At 47.1% G+C, this 18,486-nt stretch overlaps 2 protein-coding genes across 7 annotated transcripts in view, besides 5 other annotated features; one reads left to right on the top strand and one right to left on the bottom strand.

The window, feature by feature from the left end:
• The window catches only part of GNA12 (G protein subunit alpha 12), a 116,204-nt gene that overhangs the window by 69,469 nt on the left and 28,249 nt on the right, over window positions 1-18,486 (top strand). The window contains exon 1 of one of the 4 annotated variants that reach the window (NM_001282440.1): window positions 11,700-12,248. The exons of the other annotated variants lie outside the window; for them this stretch is intronic. Within the exon in view, the coding sequence (NP_001269369.1) occupies window positions 11,952-12,248 (297 nt within the window). The 5' untranslated portion in view covers window positions 11,700-11,951. Of the gene's footprint in view, window positions 1-11,699; window positions 12,249-18,486 lie in introns of those variants that run through there. 4 annotated transcript variants of the gene reach the window in all.
• Window positions 1,864-1,913: an enhancer, noted in NCBI's record as "active region_25552". NCBI's record gives its function as "activates an Ori minimal core promoter by ATAC-STARR-seq in GM12878 lymphoblastoid cells {active_cell/tissue: GM12878}" and the evidence as "EXISTENCE:reporter gene assay evidence [ECO:0000049][PMID:35858748]".
• Window positions 3,250-3,394: a silencer, noted in NCBI's record as "fragment chr7:2811080-2811224 (GRCh37/hg19 assembly coordinates)". NCBI's record gives its function as "represses an EF-1alpha promoter that drives an FKBP-Casp9 reporter gene in an ReSE screen in K562 erythroleukemia cells {active_cell/tissue: K562}" and the evidence as "EXISTENCE:reporter gene assay evidence [ECO:0000049][PMID:32094911]".
• The window catches only part of AMZ1 (archaelysin family metallopeptidase 1), an 85,617-nt gene continuing 76,832 nt past the window's right edge, over window positions 9,702-18,486 (bottom strand). For all 3 annotated transcript variants that reach the window (XM_011515151.4, NM_001321766.2, XM_017011774.3), the window contains one exon: window positions 9,702-10,128. In XM_011515151.4, the coding sequence (XP_011513453.1) occupies window positions 9,980-10,128 (149 nt within the window). In that variant the 3' untranslated portion in view covers window positions 9,702-9,979. The remainder of the gene's footprint in view (window positions 10,129-18,486) is intronic.
• Window positions 11,221-11,749: an enhancer, noted in NCBI's record as "H3K27ac-H3K4me1 hESC enhancer chr7:2802725-2803253 (GRCh37/hg19 assembly coordinates)". NCBI's record gives its function as "activates a minimal SCP1, AML or CMV promoter by ChIP-STARR-seq in primed H9 embryonic stem cells {active_cell/tissue: H9 hESC(primed)}" and the evidence as "EXISTENCE:reporter gene assay evidence [ECO:0000049][PMID:30033119]".
• Window positions 12,280-12,809: an enhancer, noted in NCBI's record as "H3K27ac-H3K4me1 hESC enhancer chr7:2801665-2802194 (GRCh37/hg19 assembly coordinates)". NCBI's record gives its function as "activates a minimal SCP1, AML or CMV promoter by ChIP-STARR-seq in primed H9 embryonic stem cells {active_cell/tissue: H9 hESC(primed)}" and the evidence as "EXISTENCE:reporter gene assay evidence [ECO:0000049][PMID:30033119]".
• Window positions 16,563-16,852: an enhancer, noted in NCBI's record as "active region_25551". NCBI's record gives its function as "activates an Ori minimal core promoter by ATAC-STARR-seq in GM12878 lymphoblastoid cells {active_cell/tissue: GM12878}" and the evidence as "EXISTENCE:reporter gene assay evidence [ECO:0000049][PMID:35858748]".

Below are 18,486 nucleotides of genomic sequence, written 5' to 3'. Positions count from 1 at the left end.
GATAGCTGCGTAAATATGTGACAGTGTTTAAAAGGGGGGAAAAACAAGTACCCTGGGCTTTGTACTTATGTTTATTCTTAGACGTGCCTGATTTTATTTACCTTTGAAAGAAGTTATATAAAAAGGAAGACAAACCTGTAAGTGCAAAAGGAATGAAGATTCAGTGACACGTGTTGACTGTAGGTTCTCAAACCTTGTACTTTTTTTGACCCTTATATCATTAAAGCATTCGACACATTAGCAACCTGGACCCCCCCTTTGCCTCGGCAAGCCCATCTCCTGCTCCCCTCCTCTCTGTCACTGCTGCAGGCGCACTGGCCTTCCTGCTGCTCCCTGCACACTCAGGGCCTCCCAGCGCCATCAGGGCCCTTGTGCTTGCTGTTCCTTCTGCCTGGAATGCACTTCCTCCTTTATCTCATCAAGGTTTTGACTCAGATGTTATCTTCATGAAATCTTACCTGACAATCTTGATTAAAGTCAAAACCGCACCCACCACTACCTATTACCTTTCCCTATTTCATTTAAAAAATGTTTTTATTGGAGAATTACATATATATACACACATATATATGCATGCATGTGTGTATATATGCATATACATGTATAGAAATAAAAGTGCATCTATATTAACTCAGTTTTCACAAACTGAGCAGATTGTGTGACCTGCCGCCAGCTCAGGAAACAATGACCTGTGCCCCAGAACCCCTTTCATCTTCACACCACCTTCTGCTCTCCAGAAGTAACCAGTTCTGACCGTGAACACCAGCTGTTCTGTAGAATGGGTATTTCTGCGTTGCTGCTTCATCTGTGGCCTCACACGGTATTTACTCCTGTGTTACTGGCTCCTTCTCGTCGCCATTTCGTTTTGTGCGGTTCTTCCAATTCTGCGGCACGTTCTTCCTTGTTGCTGCATGGTAATTCCATTTTGTGAATGTCCCGCAATTTAGTTCCCTGCCCTCCTGGTGATGGGCGTCCGGGTAGACGCCAGCTCAGCGTCATTACAAAAATGTTACTGTAGGTATTCAAGAACCTGTCTTTTGGTGAAGAGATGTAGGCATTTCCCTCAGGGCTGTCCAGGGGTGGACTTGCTGGGGCATCCAGGTGTGCCTGGGTTCAGTGTTCATGGATTTTTCACAGTGTTTGTATTTGTGCTCTACCAGCAGAGGCCAAGTTCCCATTACTCCACCTCATCACCAGTGCTTGTCCTCTTTTTCAAATAGCCATTCTGGTGGCCGTGTAGAGGTATCTCATTCTGGTTTTGTTTGTTTGTTTATTTTTGAGACTGAGTCTCACTCTGTCGCCCTGGCTGGAGTGCAGTGGTGTGATTTTGGCTCACTGCAGCCTCTGCCTCCCGGGTTCAAGCAATTCTCCTGCCTCAGCCTCCCGAGTAGCTGGGATTACAGATGCCCACCACCACGCCTGGCTAATTTTTGTATTTTAGTAGAGAAGGGGTTTTGCCATGTTGGCCAGGCTGGTCTCAAACTCCCAACCTCAGGTGATCACCCATGTCGGCCTCCCAAAGTGCTGGGATTACAGGCGTGAGCCACCGCCCCCAGCCTTGTTTATTTGTTTTAATTGAAGTATAATTTCTGTGTGCAAAATGCACAAATCTTAGGTGTATACAACACAATGAGATTTACGTATGTATCTACTCACACAGCCACCACCCACGTGAAAGAACATTTCAGCATCCAAGAAAGTCCCTCCCGCTGCTTCCCCATTGATACCACTCCTCCTGGTGACCACGCTAGTTTCACTTCCATCACTGTAGATTAGTGTTTTGCCTGTTTTTGAAGTTTGTTTAAATGGAATCGTTTAGCTGGCTTCTTTGCTTAATGACTGAGAGATTCATCTGTGTTGCTACGTGGATTGGTATTTTCTTCTTTTTTCTTTATAGCCTTCCATTAAATGAATACACCATAATTTATTTCTTCTCCTGTTCACAGACATGGTGTTTGTTTCTCGTTTTTGGCTACTGTGAGTAAAGCTGCTTTGAACATTCTTGGACAGGTCTCTTAATGGATATATGCACTGATTTCTCTTGGAAATATACCTAGGAGTGGGATTGCTGGGTTTGCCAACTATTTCTCCAAACTGGCCGTACTGGTTTATAGTCTCTCCAGCAGTGTGGGACAGTTAGTCCACGTTCTAACCAACACTTGGCATTGTCCTCTTGATTTTAAGCCTCCTGGTGGGTATCAATTGATGTTTTACTTTGCATTTCTAAGTAAGAACTTTCCTGACTAAATAAGTTTGGCACCTTTTTCTTTTTTTTTTTTTGAGATGGAGTCTCACTCTGTTGCCCAGGCTGGAGTGCAGTGGTGCGATCTTGGCTCACTGCAAGCTCCGCCTCCTGGGTTCACGCCATTCTCCTGCCTCAGCCTCCCAAGTAGCTGGGACTACAGGTGCCCACCACCACGCCCGGCTAATTTTTTGCATTTTTAGTAGAGACGGGTTTCACCATTTTAGCCAGGATGGTCTCGAGCTCCTGACCTCGTGATCCGCCTGCCTCTGCCTCCCCAAGTGCTGGGATTACAGGCGTGAGCCACTGCACCCAGCATGTTTGGCACCTTTTGTACATCTGTTGGCCAGTGGGATATCCTCTTCTATAACAGGTTTGTGCAAATCTTTTGCCCTGTTGGGTTGTTGGTCATTTTCTTGGGAATTCTCGATATGAGTCCTTTGTCAGATTATCCGGAATATGTAAAGAACTCTCAAAACTCAAGAAAACAATTTTTTTAAAAGGACAAAAGATTTGAACAAAGAAGAGATTCCTGAAGCAAATAACACATGAAAAGATGCTCAGTCGACGTCATCAGTCATGACACACATGCAGTTGAACACCGTGGTGAGACACCACATGCTCTCCTAGGAGGCTGCCCTTTGGAAGGCGACCACCCAAGGCACAGTGAGGGCGGGGGTGGGAACTCAGGCTCTCACACACCCCTGGTAGAAATGTGAAATGGTACTCCTGCTTTGGAAAAGCGGGGCACTTTCTTAAAAGTTAAACATACAATTATCACATGAGCTAGCCCTTCCACATGTAGATATTTACCAAAGAGAAGTGAAAATATTTGTCCACACAAAGACTTGCACACACATGTTTATGGCAGCTGAACATTGGGAACGTGGCCATCAACAAGCAGATGGATGAACAGACTGGGGTGCACCCTTCTGTGGGGATACTGCTCAGCCAGGAAAGGGAGCACCTGGTAACCTGCAGCATATGGGCGAATCTGGAAAGAATTGTGCCAAGTGCAGGAGGCCACACAAAGAAGGGAGTGTCCTCTAAGATCTGACTTACATGAGAATCTAGAATATGCAGACCAACATGGAGGGATAGATGCCGACCACGGGTTGCCTGGGCAGGAAGGGAGTGCAGGGGAGGGGAAGGGCTGATAAGGCCACAGTGGGAGTTGTTTGGGTGTTTGCTCATGATCTTGGCTGTTATGATGGTCCCACAGCTGTATGCATATGTCAGAAGTCATCAGACTGGGCAAGTTCACTATGTGCGGTTTCGTTTTTTTGGTTTTTTGGTTTTTTTTGAGTGGCAGGGAGTCTTGCTCTGTCGCCCAGGCTGAAGTACAGTGGCGACATGTCAGCTCACGGCAACCTCCACCTCCCAGGTTCAAGCGATTCTCCTGCCCCGGCCTCCCGAGTAGCTGGGATTATAGGTGCCTGCCACCTCACCTGGCTAATTTTTGTATTTTTAGTAGAGACGAGGTTTCGCCATGTTGGTCAGGCTGGTCTTGAACTCCTAACTTCAAGTGATCCACCCACCTCAGCCTCCCAAAGTGCTGGGATTACAGGTGTGAGCCACGGCGCCTGGCCTTTTCTTTGATTTTAATAATTTGGTTTACTAAGTCTGTTCCCTGTCCATTTGCTCTGCAAGGAGTCATCAGAGCCTGGCGCTTGCAGTACCCCCAGGTCCACGTTTAGATGATCTTAAAACATTGCCATAATCTTGCACGATGGCCTTGCACTTAGGCAGTGCCAGTATTCCTATGGTATACAGTGAAGGGGCATTCGGTTTCAGTAACTCTGATTTGTAATCGTCCTACGTGGAAACACAAAGCAACAAGCACAGGATCCCATTAGCTCTGCTGCCCAGTGAAGCATCCATGTTGCTTTGTTTTTGTTTGTTCTTTTTCTTTCTTTCTTTCTGTGTGTTGTTTTGTTTTGTTTTGTTGTTGTTATTGTTGTTGAGATGGAGTCTCACTATGTGGCCCAGGCTGGAGCTCAGTGGCTTTTCACAGGCACGCTTATCGTAGCTCACTGCATCCTCAAACTCCTGGGCTCAAGAGATTTCCCCCACTTCAGCCTCCTGGGTAGCTGAGACTACAGGTGTGCACCACCACGCCTAGCTAACTCTAACTTAATCTAATGCCAACTCCAATGGACAAGCATTGCCCTGTCACAAGCCTAGCTGAACTATGTCAGAATTGAACTCTTTGAGCTTGATATGGTTCTAGAGGCTATTGAGCCTCAATTTGAGCCTAAATTTAAAATTGTGTGATCATTTAATTTAATTTCCAAACGGGACATGTTTATAAATAAAACAAGACCCTATTAAACAATTTTGCCAAGATGATTGACTCAAATTGGGACTCTCCAGGGCAAGTGGGGCATATGGTTATCCTGTTTATAGTATATTATGGCAGTGAACCTCAGTAAAGTCATACATTGTAGGTTTGTTTATTTGTTGCTATCTATGCAGTTGAATAATGTTGAGGATATATTTTATTTTCCTCACAGTACCAGGCCAGTCTATAGCTTGAATTGAATCTTAGCTCTGCATGTCACTATGATCTATTTTATTGTAACTTCCTATTATAAACCTTTAATTTTATAAAAGCAATTTTGAAAAAGTACTTGCCCCCCCATGATTTAAAAAAACAAAAACACTTAGACTTAAAATGTAATGACATATCACTTTTCACCCATCAAATTCAGAAAAAAATTCAATTGATAATATCCAGTGTGTTAAGGGTATAAAGAAGTGGGTATCTTAAACCCTTGTTCATTAGGATATAAATTGGTACAACCTTTTTGGGAGAGAATTTGGCCAGAGCTGTGTTTTTTTTGTTTGTTTGTTTTTGTTTTTTCTGAGACAGAGTCTCACTCTCTCACCCAGGCTGGAGTGCGGTGGTGCGATCTCGGCTCACTGCAAGCTCCACCTCCCGGGTTCGTGCCATTGTCCTGCCTCAGCCTCCTGAGTAGCTGGGACTATAGGCGCCTGCCACCACGCCCGGCTAATTTTTTGTATTTTTTTTAATAGAGACGGGGTTTCACCGTGTTGGCCAGGATGGTCTCAATCTCCTGACCTCGTGATCCGCCGACCTCGGCCTCCCAAAGTGCTGGGATTACAGACATGAGCCACCGTGCCCAGCCGGCCAGAGCTGTTTTAAAAAATTAATATGGATACTCTTTGACCTAGCTGTTCTATTTACAGATACCTAGCTTACAGACATAATTATACATGTCCCAGAAGTGGTGTGCATGAGGATGGTTTCTGCAATGTTGATGGTAGTAGCAGAAATTAAAACTACGTAAATACCTGCCAGTGATGCTGTTTAAGTAGAATACCAGATGGCTATTAGAAGGAATGAAGGTCCACACAGAAACAGCTCTAAGGTGGCTGGGCATGGTGGCTCACGCCTGTAATCCCAGCACTTTGGGAGGCCAAGACGGTTGGATCACTTGAGGTTAGGAGTTCGAGACCAGCCTGGCTACCATGGTGAAACCTTGTCTCTACTAAAAATACAAAAATTAGCTGGGTGTGGTGGTGCACACCTGTAATCCCAGCTACTCAGGAGGCTGAGGCAGGAGAACTGCTTGAACCCAGGAGGTGGAGGGAGCCGAGATCAGCCCGGACAACGGAGCGAGACTCCATCTCAAAGAAAAGGAAATATATCTAAGGCATGGTAAGGGTAAAAACCAACTTGGAAAACAATCAATGTGTAGTAGTTTATCCCATTTATATAAACCAAACAAATCATTAAAGTGTAGATTTCTCCACATACAATATACACATATTAAATACAGAAACAAAGGTAGAAAAGTGTATGCCAAGTTGATAACAGTGATTAATAGTTGTGGGAATGAGTGGGAATGAACTCTCCTTTATCCATAGGTTTACTGTTTTTTTTTTTGTTTTGTTTTGTTTTTTTTTTACCTTGAGAGCATATTCACCTGTTACCTAATTTTATAACTGAATTAATTTTCTAAATGTACGTAACTGCATTATAACCATTTTGAAAGAAAACTTATTAGCATTAGGTTTTACTCTAACCTTTGTTTTCCTGAGTGTTACATCCATGATTTTAAGGGCATGTCTCAGGACTCTAGGATGTGATTTCATTTCACGCAGTCCTCGAATGCAGTTAGTGTTTTTCTGAGTTCTCTGAAGCAGAGAAATACTAGGAAAAACGTAGCTTGCTAAGCCAGGACCTCAAAAAGGAAGGCTACTGATCTTCACTGGATGAAGTGACATGACTTTGAAGCTGAGAGATCCAGGTTTGAATTAGCAATTCCTTAGTCACTACATTTGCTGTATTTAAACTTGGAAAACAGAAACCATTTCCGATCACTTATTTGGCAGCAAAACCTAATCTAACTCAATTTGGACTTGTTTAGTAGCAAAGCCTGGCCTCACATACCCGTGGCCATTTATAGTCTCCATTAGGTCTGTAAGCGGTAGCTCATGCCTGTAATCCCAACACTTTGGGAGGCCAAGGCAGGTGGATAACCTGAGGTCAGGAGTTCGAGACCAGCCTGACCAATATGGTGAAACCCTGTCTCTACTAAAAATAAAAAAATTAGCCAGGCATGGTGGCATGTGCCCGTAGTCCCAGCTACACAAGAGGCTGAGACAGGAGAATTGCTTGAACCCAGGAGGCGGAGGTTGCAGTGAGCCGAGATTGTACCACTGCACTCCAGCCCGGGTGACAGAGTGACTCCGTCTCAAAAACTAAAATAAAATAAAATATAGTCTCCATTAGTACAACTGTTCACACACACAAATCTATGTTATTGTAGAAATATTCTCAGATTTTATTTACGATGAGGATTTGGTAATGCATAGCATATGTACCATGTTATCTTTCCAAAATCTGAAAGTTTCTGAATTCCAAAATATATCTGGTGCTAAGGGTTTAAAGGTTAGGAGTTACAATACAAATGAAGAAGTAAAAAACTTGAAACGCGCCAGCCAAGAGTTGATTTTAAATAAGAAGACAGGGAAACAGTTGTTCTTGTGTGTGAGAGAGGGTACTATAAAGGGTATTCATGTCACAGTTGTTGATGGCAGCAAAACACTGGAAATGCCCCCAGGTGGCTATCGAAAGGGTCACATAAGTGATTGTACATTTATTCAGTGGAATGCAGCATAGCTATTTTTTTTTAAGTACCACAACTCTTATACTGTATACAAAAAATAACTCAAAATGGCTTAAAGACTTAAACATAATCACGAAAACTAAAACTCCTAGAAGAAAACATAGAGGGAAAGCTTCAAGATACTGGATTTAGCAGTGATTTCTTGGGTATGATACCAAAAGCCTAGGCAACAAAAGAAAACATAGACCAATGGGAGCACATCAAATGTAAACATTTTTGTGGGTACAGGGACACAATCAACAGAGTGAGAAGGCAGCCTATAAAACGGGAAAAATATTTGCAAATCATATATGTGAAAAGAGTTAACATTCAGAATGTATGAAGACTCCTACAACTCAACAAGAAGCAAAGTTAAATAACCCAATTAAAAAATGGGCAAAGGGCTTGAATGGACAGTTCTCCAGTGAGGATAAGCAAGTGGCCATCTAGCCTATGCAAAGTATCTCAGTATCCCTGATGGTCAGAGAAATGCAAATCAAAATCACAATGAGATACTACCACACATCCATTAGAATGGCTACTATCAGAAGAAAAACAAAATAACAAGTGTTGGTGAGGAATGGAGAAACTGGAACCCTTGTGCACTGTTGGTGGGAATGTAAAATGGCACAGCCATATAGTAGGAAGAGACCCAGATGCAATCCAATAGTGCCTCCTCGGGGTATTTATCCAGAAGAATGGAAAGCAGGGTCTCAGAGATATTTGCACACCCATGTTTATAGCAACTTTATTCACAATGCCTAAGAGGTGGAAGCTGGCCAGGTGCGGTGGCTCACACCTGTAATCCCAGCACTTTGGGAGACCGAGGTGGGTGGATTGCTTGAGGTCAGGAGTTCAGGACCAGCCTGGCCAACATGGTGAAACCCTGTCTCTATTTAAAATACAAAAATTAGCTGGGCATGGTGGTGGGTGCCTGTAATCCTAGCTACTCAGGAGGCTGAGGCAGGAAAATCGCTTGAACCTGGGAAGCGGAGGTTGCAGTGAGCCAAGATGGCACCACTGCACTCCAGCCTGGCGACAGAGCAAGACTCCGTCTCAAAAAAAAAAAAAAAAAGGCGGAAGCAACCCAAATGTTCATCAATGGATGAACAGGTAAACAGCATGTAGTACATACACACAATGGAATTTTAGCCAGCCTTAAAAAGGAAAGACTGCAGCTAACATACTAGCTACAACAGAGATGAACCTTGAGGATATTATGCTAAGTGAAATAAGCCAGTCGCAGAAGTATGATTCTGCTTATGTGATAACCTGAAGTAGTCAAATGCATAGAAACAAAAAGTAGAATGCTGGTTACCAGGGGCTGGGCAGATGGGGGGAAATGGGAGTTGTTTAATTAGTGCAAAGTTTCACATTTGCAAGATGAAAAAGTTTTGGAGATCGGTTTCACAACAACGTTAATATGCTTAACACCACTGAACTGTGCATTTTAAAATGATTAAGATGGTAAATTTTATGTCAATATGTTTTTTACTACACTTTTTAAAAAAGTGGATGTGGAGCCGGGCGCAGTGGCTCGCGCCTGTAATCCCAGCACTTTGGAAACTTGGGGGGAGGGGAGGGGGGCCCTGGATCACGAGGTCAGGAGTTCGAGACCAGCCTGGCCAACATGGTGAAATCCCCATCTCTACTAAAAAACAAAAATTAGCTGGGTGTATTGGCACACGCCTATAGTCCCAGCTACTCAGGAGGCTAAGACAGGAGAATCGCTTGAACCCAGGAGGCGGAGGTTGTGGTGAGCCAAGATCATGCCATCGCACTCCAGCCTGGGTGACAGAGTGAGACTCTGTCTCAAAAGCAAAAAATAAAAAGAAGAAAAAAAAAAACAAACACAGGATACAGAACTCCCTACCTCGTCTTGCTGGTTTTCTTTACCTTTAATTGAATGTTGGAGTCACAGGATTAGGAAGTGAAGCTCTCAAGTTCACAAAGCACCTGCTCTTCCCTGCGCGCTCATTCATTTAACAAAGTCTTCCTGTTGTAGGCTGGGCGCGGTGGCTCAGGCCTGTAATCCCAGCATTTTAGGAGGCCGAGGCGGGCGGATCACGAGGTCAGGAGATCTAGACCATCCTGGCTAACACCATCTCTACTAAATGAAACCCCATCTCTACTAAAAATACAAAAAAATTAGGCGGGCGCAGTGGCGGGTGCCTGTGGTCCCAGCTACTCGGGAGGCTGAGGCAGGAGAATGGCGTGAACCCGGGAGGCGGAGCTTGCAGTGAGCCGAGATTGCGCCACCACACTCCAGCCTGGGCGACAGAGCGAGACTCCGTCTCAAAAAAAAAAAAAAAGTCAGCCTGTGATTCTTTTTTTCCCTTAGATTTTAATCCAAGTGATTATGAATGTCAAGGATTAAAATTTGGGGGGGTTATTTGGGATTCCCTGGATTCAGATTTCTGAGATTATGCTTCCTTTCCTTTAAGGAAAGGTTTTCATTTTCATTATAATACAAAAAGCAAACTGCTTATTACTTTTCCACCGTACAAAATGCAGTTGACCTACCTCAACGCTTTGTGCATTCACCTGAACAGAAGCATTTTGGATAACTAACGCGTGCTTAAGCCTCTGAGGACCTCATTCACTAAGAGGACGAGGCGGCGCAAGTCCAGCTGTGGTCAGTCTCAGTGTTCCCTTCAGGGTCCGCCGGCTCACGCTGGGAGAATGAGAGGGACTTCAGATGCTGCTTCAGTTCCCAGCTGTGGCTGAAGCTACTGGGTTCACCCAGCTCACCTACAGTTTACAGAGAAATAAAGCAAAACTCAGATGCATTCAGACAGAACCCCACCTCGAGGGCAGCCTCAGCTCTGATGAGACCAGCTGACAGGCCCTGGCTCCCTAAGCCATGGCAGAGGAGATCATTCATTCACATGTCAGAGACAAAGCCCAGGAGTCTGGATTGTGAAGTAAACGCTGAGCCCGACCACAACCACTGTGAATACTGGGCAACTGGGGCGTCTCAGAGGATTCAGGTAATTGAACAAATAGACTTCATACGGAATCTCAACTCTCCTCTGGTCAGCAATATCAGATGTACTTCTGTGTGAATAATAAACCAGACTGCCTGGATGCGGGAGCACACGCCTGGAATCCTGGCACTTTGGGAGGCTGAGATGGGAGGATCACTCCAGCCTAGGAGTTTGAGACCTGCCTGGGCAACATAGTGAGATCCCATCTTTATTAAAAAAAAAAAAAAAAAAGAAATTAGCTGGGGATAGGTGGCACGTGCCCGTGGTCCCAGCTACTCAGGAGGCTGAGGCAGGAGGATCACTTGAGCCCACTTCAGTTTGAGGCTGCAGTGAGCCATGATTGCACCACGGCCCCCTAACCTGGGCAACAGAGTGAGACCCTGTCTCAAAACCAAAATGATAAAAAATACTCAACCAATCAGAGGACACCAGCACAGCAGCCTTAGGAAGACTTCTAGAAAGTATAGGCAAGCCTCACTTTAGGTGCGTACCCTGTTCTCATGCCCCTGTAGTGTTGCTATAGGAAAGAAGGGTGCATAATTGGATTCACTTTAACCAAGACTCTAAAGCAACAGCTCAGCTGAGCTCCTTCTCTCTCCGTCTCCCTCGCTCTCTGCCAGCCATGGAGGCCACTGAGTGGGGATCTCAGTGCAGAGGTCCCGGCCTCGCCTGCCCAGGGAGCTTTCTTGTTCCAGGCGACAGGAAAAGCAGAGCCTGTGGGGGAGGCATTTTGTGCAGGGAAGGCACATTTAGAAGAAGCTTTGGTTTCCTGGACAAGCCCAGGCTTTCTCATTCTTACCAGGGATCTTCCTTAGATGCTTGTCCTTGGGAAGTGTAAATGTGTTCACTGCAGCTCTTTCTGCATATTTTAGACCTTAAAATAATTGTTTTTTGTTTCGAGCTAGCCTTAGATTACAGGACCATTGAGAATTGAGACACTGCTTGGGACATGGACTGGAGCTTCATCCTCAGCCATAGAGCAGCACTGCTGCCGGGGTTGAGGGAGCTCGGGGAGCTTTTCCAGACAAAACCTTTGCTCCAGGCGTTTGGCAGGGCCATAGGAAGAGCTCCTTTGTGGGCTCCCTGAGCTGGAACTCGGCCTTCTCCGCCCGATGAAGCAAACAAACTGTGCCGAGGGCGCACCGGCATTTGTGCCGTCAGCAAGCCGGGCTGTGTCTCAGCCTCACAGCACTCCTCCCACGGGCCTGGGAAGGCAAATGTGTTTTCTGAACTGTGTTGAGACCGTGTGTGTGTGTGTGTGTGTGTGTGTGTGTGTGTGTGTGTTGGGGTGTCTTGTGAAGTCCTGCTAACCTCTTGTCAGCAGAATATTCGAGAAATGCTTCTGAGAAGAGAGAGGAAGATGACTTCAGAGGCTGCTTGTGGTCTCTCACTCAAGGCTGGTAGGGAGCCCCGGTCTGCGTCCTGGAGGAACGGCACGCTGAGTCCTGGGCCAGTGGCCGGCGGGGCTGTTGGCGACCACAGTAGCACACAAGGGCTCTTTCTGAGGAGCAGGAGACCCTGGCACGGGCCCCACGGGAGTGTCTGGGGCGTCCCCGCCTGTGGCCTCTTCTCCCCGCCGCAGCACCAATGGCTCCACGAGCAGGGCTCGGAGCTGGCCCTCTCCTGCTTCGGAGCCGCGCTGACTGGGTGTGTGGCGGATGGGAGGCCGCCCTGAGTGCTCCTCCTCCCTTTTGTACAGCCTGGGTGGAAAGGACGGGCCTGGTGCACTTCCTGCGGGAGGGAGGACATGGGGCCTGCTTCCCTCTGGCGCTCCTCCACCCGGGCAGCGTGGTTTCTTTCCAAATGATTTATCCTCTCATCGTCCTGCCGCTCTGTGCTTCATGGCATTGGGGTCTTATCCGGAAGGGGATTGTCCTTTTTTGGGTTTGTAAATGTAATTTTCAGGAAATGTCATTGGATCTAACTCCAGAATAGAAGGCGTGGTGGAACTGCTTTTGTAGTCCACAGTTAGGCTACTCACACCTCAGGCCCCGCACACGGGTGGGTTCAGAGGCTGGACTTTGGAGTTAAGTAGCGTTTTTGCCCTTGGCCAAGTTAACGTCTAAGCTTTGGTTTCCTCAGTGAGGAAAGTGGGAACCGCCATACCGTGTCTGGATTCGGTGGGATCGTGTGTGTCCAGCAGCAGTCGCGCAGCGCCTGGCGTGAGTGGTGGGTGCACGCCGGCCCCGCCATGTGCACCTTCTGTGACGACCCTAAGTCAGGGTGGTGTTTCCTAGCAGTGCAGAACACGAAGCCCTTACAACTTCTCCTAGAAACGAAGCCTGGGTTGACCCCTCCACCTCAGGGTGAGAGCTTTTGGTATTTTGAGTCAGTATTTTTGGCATGTCTTGTTTTCACAGGTTTCTCTGCCGCTTTCGCTTTTTTCTGGAGGGGCTGGAGGTAGGGACAGTAATGAAGGTAAGGAATGCGGATGGAGCCGCAGTTCTCTGCGAGTGTTCTGTGTGAGTGCTGGGAGGCCTCGGTGAGGTTAGGCTGTGGTGCTGGGTGGACTGGTGGGCGGCTGGACACTCCACATTTTTCCCTTACATTTGGACATTCCGTGGATACGACAGATGGGAAAACTGGACCAGCTGGAAGCCGAATTTTACGTTGTGACCTAAAGAGCTGTTAGGTACTCAGCACTATCCAGGGTATGAAAGCAGCATTAGTTGGTCATCTCTTCACGTTTTAATGAACGTGAAGTGCCGATGCTCTTTTCATTTTCCAGTGGCCCATCTTGTCAACTCTTCATTGTTTTTTAAGCAAATTCAAGGATTCGGTCAAAGGAGAACCAATAGCTGCAAATTGTAAATCCTGTGAAATTGTCTTTGGGTTCCGTCCTGAGAGGCCGGTTCGGGAACGTGCCCTGTGTAAAGTGAGAACTGTTTGTATCCTAGGAATTCGGTAGATGAGGTAGTGACAATTCTGGAGGGCGATGCTGTCCGTTCCAGCTCTTTTTAGTCATCCTGAATTGCATCAGGTTTTAGGAAAAAGTTTCTGGTTTTCTTCTTTATTTGTACTAGGCTTCTGAAATATCTCAAATTCTGCCATGAAGTCAGCCGTCCTTGGGAGTCTGTGTGGCACAGATGTCTGGTTTCAGGGAAATCACAGCTGCCATCTGCGTGCCCACCCCGTGCCTCTAGGCATAGCCAGCAGACGGCTCTGTGAGCATGGGGTGGTGGCTTTGACCTCATAGAAGAGGAAACTGAGACCCAGAGGGGGACTGTGCCATCCACGGCCGGGAGGTAGCAGAGCCGGGGCTGCTGTGCTGGGAGCTTGTTTGCGCAGTGCCGTGCACGGTGGCTCGGTGAGGCGGCCGTGGTTGTCTCCCATCCGCATAACTCTAAGAGGAGCCCCACAGCCGAGAGCCAGACGTGTAGGAAATGCTTTCTATGAGATGCGTGCTACGTTCCTGACTCCGTTTACATGTCATTGTTTTGGGTCTAAAACAACATGCTGTCCCAAAACTACCCATGAACTGTGAGGACTGAGAGCAAGCAACTTCGTCAAGACTGTGGGAAGGACAGGGGGAGCTGGAGTGGGGAAGGTGCCAGCCAGAACCCCCCACTCCCCACCAAAGAAGCCACATTGCTGTGAGGATGTGACAACTTCTGTTCCTCGTGTCACCAGCCTCTTGCAGACAAGCTAACCTCTGGTGACTTGGTAAAGCCACGCAGCTGGGACGGTCCAGCAGTAGGGAGCTCGACGCTGTCCCTAGAGGAAAGATTAGAAATGGTCGTAGCTAAACTTAGCTCTGGATAAGCTGCCTGTAGAAGGAAATGGAGATGGATTTGGAGGGTGGAGGTTGGGAAGGTTTAAAGGGACAGTGACAGGTCTGTCCTGCTTGAGGGATGTGTGTGGAAAGTCTTCACAGGCTCTGGTGCAGTGCTCGTCAGGGACGCCCTGATGTGACGTGGTGCCATAGTCATCTTAGGTCTTTGGAATGAAGAATAGGCTCTGCCCAGAAGGAAGTGAAGCCACGGTGTTGATTTGACAGGCAGAAGGGCCTGGGTGGTTCTCAGGTGCTTACCACAGCGTCCGGGAAAGACCACTGACATTGATTGCTTTGATCTCCTGGGTGATTGGCAGTGAGCCAGTTCAGATCCTCTGACTTGGTGTCCCCCTGGTGTACTGGTAAGGCATTCTATTGAGTCGAGCCTGTGCAGAACACAGCAGGTTGTGGACCTAGGGAGGCAGCGCTGCTGGGAGGCGAGCCTGAGCAGCTCGTGCTGGGGTGTGCCCTCCTGCCTGGACTCTGCACGCGTTGGGTGTGTCTTCAATCTCCACTCCTTCCCCAGGCAGAGGCGGGCGATGGGAAGAAAGCACGTCCATCACGTGGGGCTCTCTTTGTCCACACATCCAAGCTACACATTGCCAACAGAGGCCTTGGAGCTCTTGACCTTCAGTTCCTCAACCTTGACATCCTAGTGTTTTCATATTTTAAAAAATACTTTTAAAACTGAGTGTTCCTGTCATTTTTATGCATTTGTGGTCATGTGACAAAGCCACTGGTGGCTTCCAGCCTACACAGCCTGCTTGGCAGGAGCAGGTGGCAGAAAGCAGGGAGCGGAGCTTTTCAAAGGACCTCAGCTGGCCGTGGGGCTCTGAGACGGGGGCGGACAATCGCATTGGACGGCATCTGCACCCGTTGCAGAAACTGCCTGGAGGGAGCGGCCCAGCCCTAAGGACAGTTTTTTTCATGGCCTTCAGTCTGTGTTTTTTCTCTTTTGCTCTTTTTAAAATTCTGAAGTGTATACATCTCTCTCCTATCCTGTATGACTACAGAAGAGGGTCTGAAAAAATAGGCACAGCGTGAAACAGCATGAACAAACACCTCTGAACCTGCCACTCAGATGAAAAACATCAACAGTAATTCATAAACCCCATGTGAGCCACTACCGCCACCCCAGCGTCACCACTATTCTAGTATTTGGCTAATTATTCCTTTCCTTTTACTTGTCTTTTTACCACCTATTCCTAAACAGTAGTAACTTACCACTTGGGCATGTTATTTAACCACTTTGTCTCAGTCTTCCCATCTGTCACATGGACAGAACAGTAATAACACACCGTGAGTATTGTGAGAATGAAGGTGATATGGGGGAGGCCCTTAGAACAGTGCAGGCACATAGGAAGTGCAAGGTAGGTGTGAGTTCTTACAGCTAGCGCTTTGTTTCCTTTTGCCTGTGTTTTAACTTCATGTAAATAAGGACAGTATAACCATTTTATGACTTATTTCTTCAGCGTTATATTTTGAGATCCATCATGGGGTTTTTATTTTTATTTTATTTATTTATTTATTTATTTATTTATTTATTTATTTATTTATTTATTTTGAGACAGTGTTTTGCTCTGTGGCCCAGGGCTGAGTGCAATGGTGTAATCTCGGCTCATTGCAACCTCCGCCCCCTGGGTTCAAGTGATTCTCCTGCCTCAGCCTCCCCAGTAGCTGGGATTACAGGCGCCCACCACCACGCCCCGCTAGTTTTTGTATTTTTAGTAGAGACGGTGTTTCACCATATCAGGAGGCTGGTCTCGAACTCCTGACCTCAGGTGATCCACCTCGGCCTCCCAGAGCGCTGGGATTATAGGCATGAGCCACCGCGCCCAGCAGAGACCCATCATGTTGATACATGCGGTGATAACCCTCTCATATCCATTCTTCTGTGGTGTTCTATTAGATGAGTAAACTGCACTTGATTATCCACTGAACCAGAGGTGGGCACTGGTGGCTTCCAGCCTAGGGCTGTGACTCTGCTGTTAGGGGCACGCTGCTACACAGGCACCAACCTCTCTAGCACAGGGGTTCCTCCAAGTGTGCTGTGGGGGCCCCCGAGACCCTTTCAGGGGTTCCCCCAGGTTCCTTGAAAGGCTCCCCTGATTAGATCAGGCCCACCAAGATCACCTCCCTTTGGCTTAGCTGAAAGTCGCCCAATCACAGGAGATACGTTCCATCACACTCCAGCTTCCTCCCACGCTGCAGGGGAAGAAATTGCACAGGGCGTGTGTCATTGAGGCTCGTCTTAGAACCCTGACAGCACAGAACACATGAAACTGCTGAGACACTGTCTGCCCTTTACACCCTCTTTCATGTGCAAGCCTGCATTGGAGCTTTTCAGAGGCCACACGACGTATGAGGATGTCATCACTTGGATGGCGAATGAGATAAGTGTTTGCAGAGCCTTGTTTTCTTAAAGTGCTAGGATTACAGTGTGAGCCACTGCACCCGGCCCTAAAGCCTTGTTTTCTTAAAAGCTCTGAGTTTTCATTTCTAATACTGTAAGCATCGATAGTTGGGGAGATGTTGAGTTTTTGGGTTTTTGTCTTTGTTTAAGAATAGGATAGTAAAAATAGAGGGGCTTTCCATAAAGAGCCTGAAGCAACAGCTGCTGACTCATCCTGTTGGTTTTGAGTTAGGGAGTGACTCATCCCCAAGCAAGAGGTTTTCCAGACATTTATTAGGTCTGTAGAGCTTGTGTTCTGTGTTAACCAGGCAGCTACATTTGCAGGGGGAGGGAAGAATCATTCCTTATTATTGCTATTCTGATGTGGGGACAGCGAACAGGAGTCAGAGAACCACTAAGCTATTAAAGGAAAAAATATTTAAGCTGCCATTTAAAAAGTCAGGTTTGAAAAAACACATGTCTTCATTGACTCAGCAAGCGTTCAGTACGTACTAAGTGCAAGAGGTCCCTGGGGCTGAGAATGTGCAGGGAAGATGACATTTTCCTTTATGCTTCATGGTTATTTTGCCCTAAGAAGTACTAAAGGTTTTTTGTTGCTGGATGAAAAGATTACCACCAATTAGCAACTTAAAACGGCACAGATGTAATGATCTCCCAATGTGCTTGGGTCAGCAGCCTGGGCATCCAGAGTTCGCCACGTGCTCTGCTCGGAACCTCGCAGGCTGGTGCACCTGGCCGCGTTCCCATCTAAGGCTTGTCATCCTTTTTCAAGCTCACTGGTACTGGCAGAGTTCATTTCCTTGCAGTCCTCTGACTGATGTCCCATTTTCTTACTAGCTGGCAGCTCCTAGGGGTGCCCTCACTTCCTTGCCACGTGGCTCCTCCTCATAACACGGCTGTGTGCTTTCTTCTAGGTCAGCAGGAGAGCACCTCTTTTAAAAGGCCCACCTGACATGGCGAAACCCTGTCTCTACTAAAACTACAAAAAATTAGCCGGGCATGGTGGCGGGCGCTGCGGTCCCAGCTACTTGGGAGGCTGAGGCAGGAGAATGGCGTGAACCCGGGAGGCAGAGCTTGCAGTGAGCCAAGATCGTGCCACTACACTCCAGCCTGGGTGACAGAGCAAGACTCCGTCTCAAAAAAAAAAAAAAAAAAAAAAAAGGCCCACCTGATTAGATCGGGCCTGCCAAGGTCACCTCCTTTTTTCCCCCGCCTTGGGACAGAGTATCGCTCTGTTGCCCAGACTGGAGTGCCACTGGCACAATCACGGTTCACTGCAGCCTCGAACTCCCCAGCTCAAGAGAACCTTCCACTTCAGCCTCCTGAGTAGCTGGAACTACAGGCATGTGCCACCACACCCGGCTACTTTTTAAATTTTTAATAGAGATGAGGTCTCACTGTGTTACCCAGACCAACCTCAAATGGCCTGGGCTCAAGGGATCCTCCCACCTTGGCATGAGCCACCATACCTGGCCCAAGAGCACCTCCTCTTTGACTAACTTAAAGTAACCAAATCACAAAAGTGATGTTCCATCATATTCTCAGGTCCCTTCCACACTCCAGGGAAAGACAGGGGCGTCTGTCATCGAGGCTCATCTTAGAATTCTGACAGCACAGAAATCTTTTCCTAACCCAAGATCACACAGATCCTCTCCTATGTTTTTGTTTGTTTGTTTGTTTGTTTGAGACAGGGTCTCACTCAGGCTGTAGTGCAGTGGCACGATTGTGGCTCACTGCAGCCTCGACCTCCCGGGCTCAAGAGATCTTCCTGCCTCAGCCTCCTGAGTAGCTGGGACTATAGGCGTGTGCCACCACACCTGACTAATTTTTAAAAATTTTTTGCAGAGATGAGGTCTCACTCTATTGCCCAGGCTGGTCTTGAACTCGTAGGATTATAAATGTGAGCCACCATACCTGACATCCTATGTTTTTTTCAG

Source organism: Homo sapiens, chromosome 7, assembly GCF_000001405.40.
Source record: "Homo sapiens chromosome 7, GRCh38.p14 Primary Assembly".
Lineage (NCBI taxonomy): Eukaryota > Metazoa > Chordata > Mammalia > Primates > Hominidae > Homo > Homo sapiens.
Note: the sequence above shows the minus strand (reverse complement) of the source record. Positions and strands in the feature narration are given on the sequence as shown.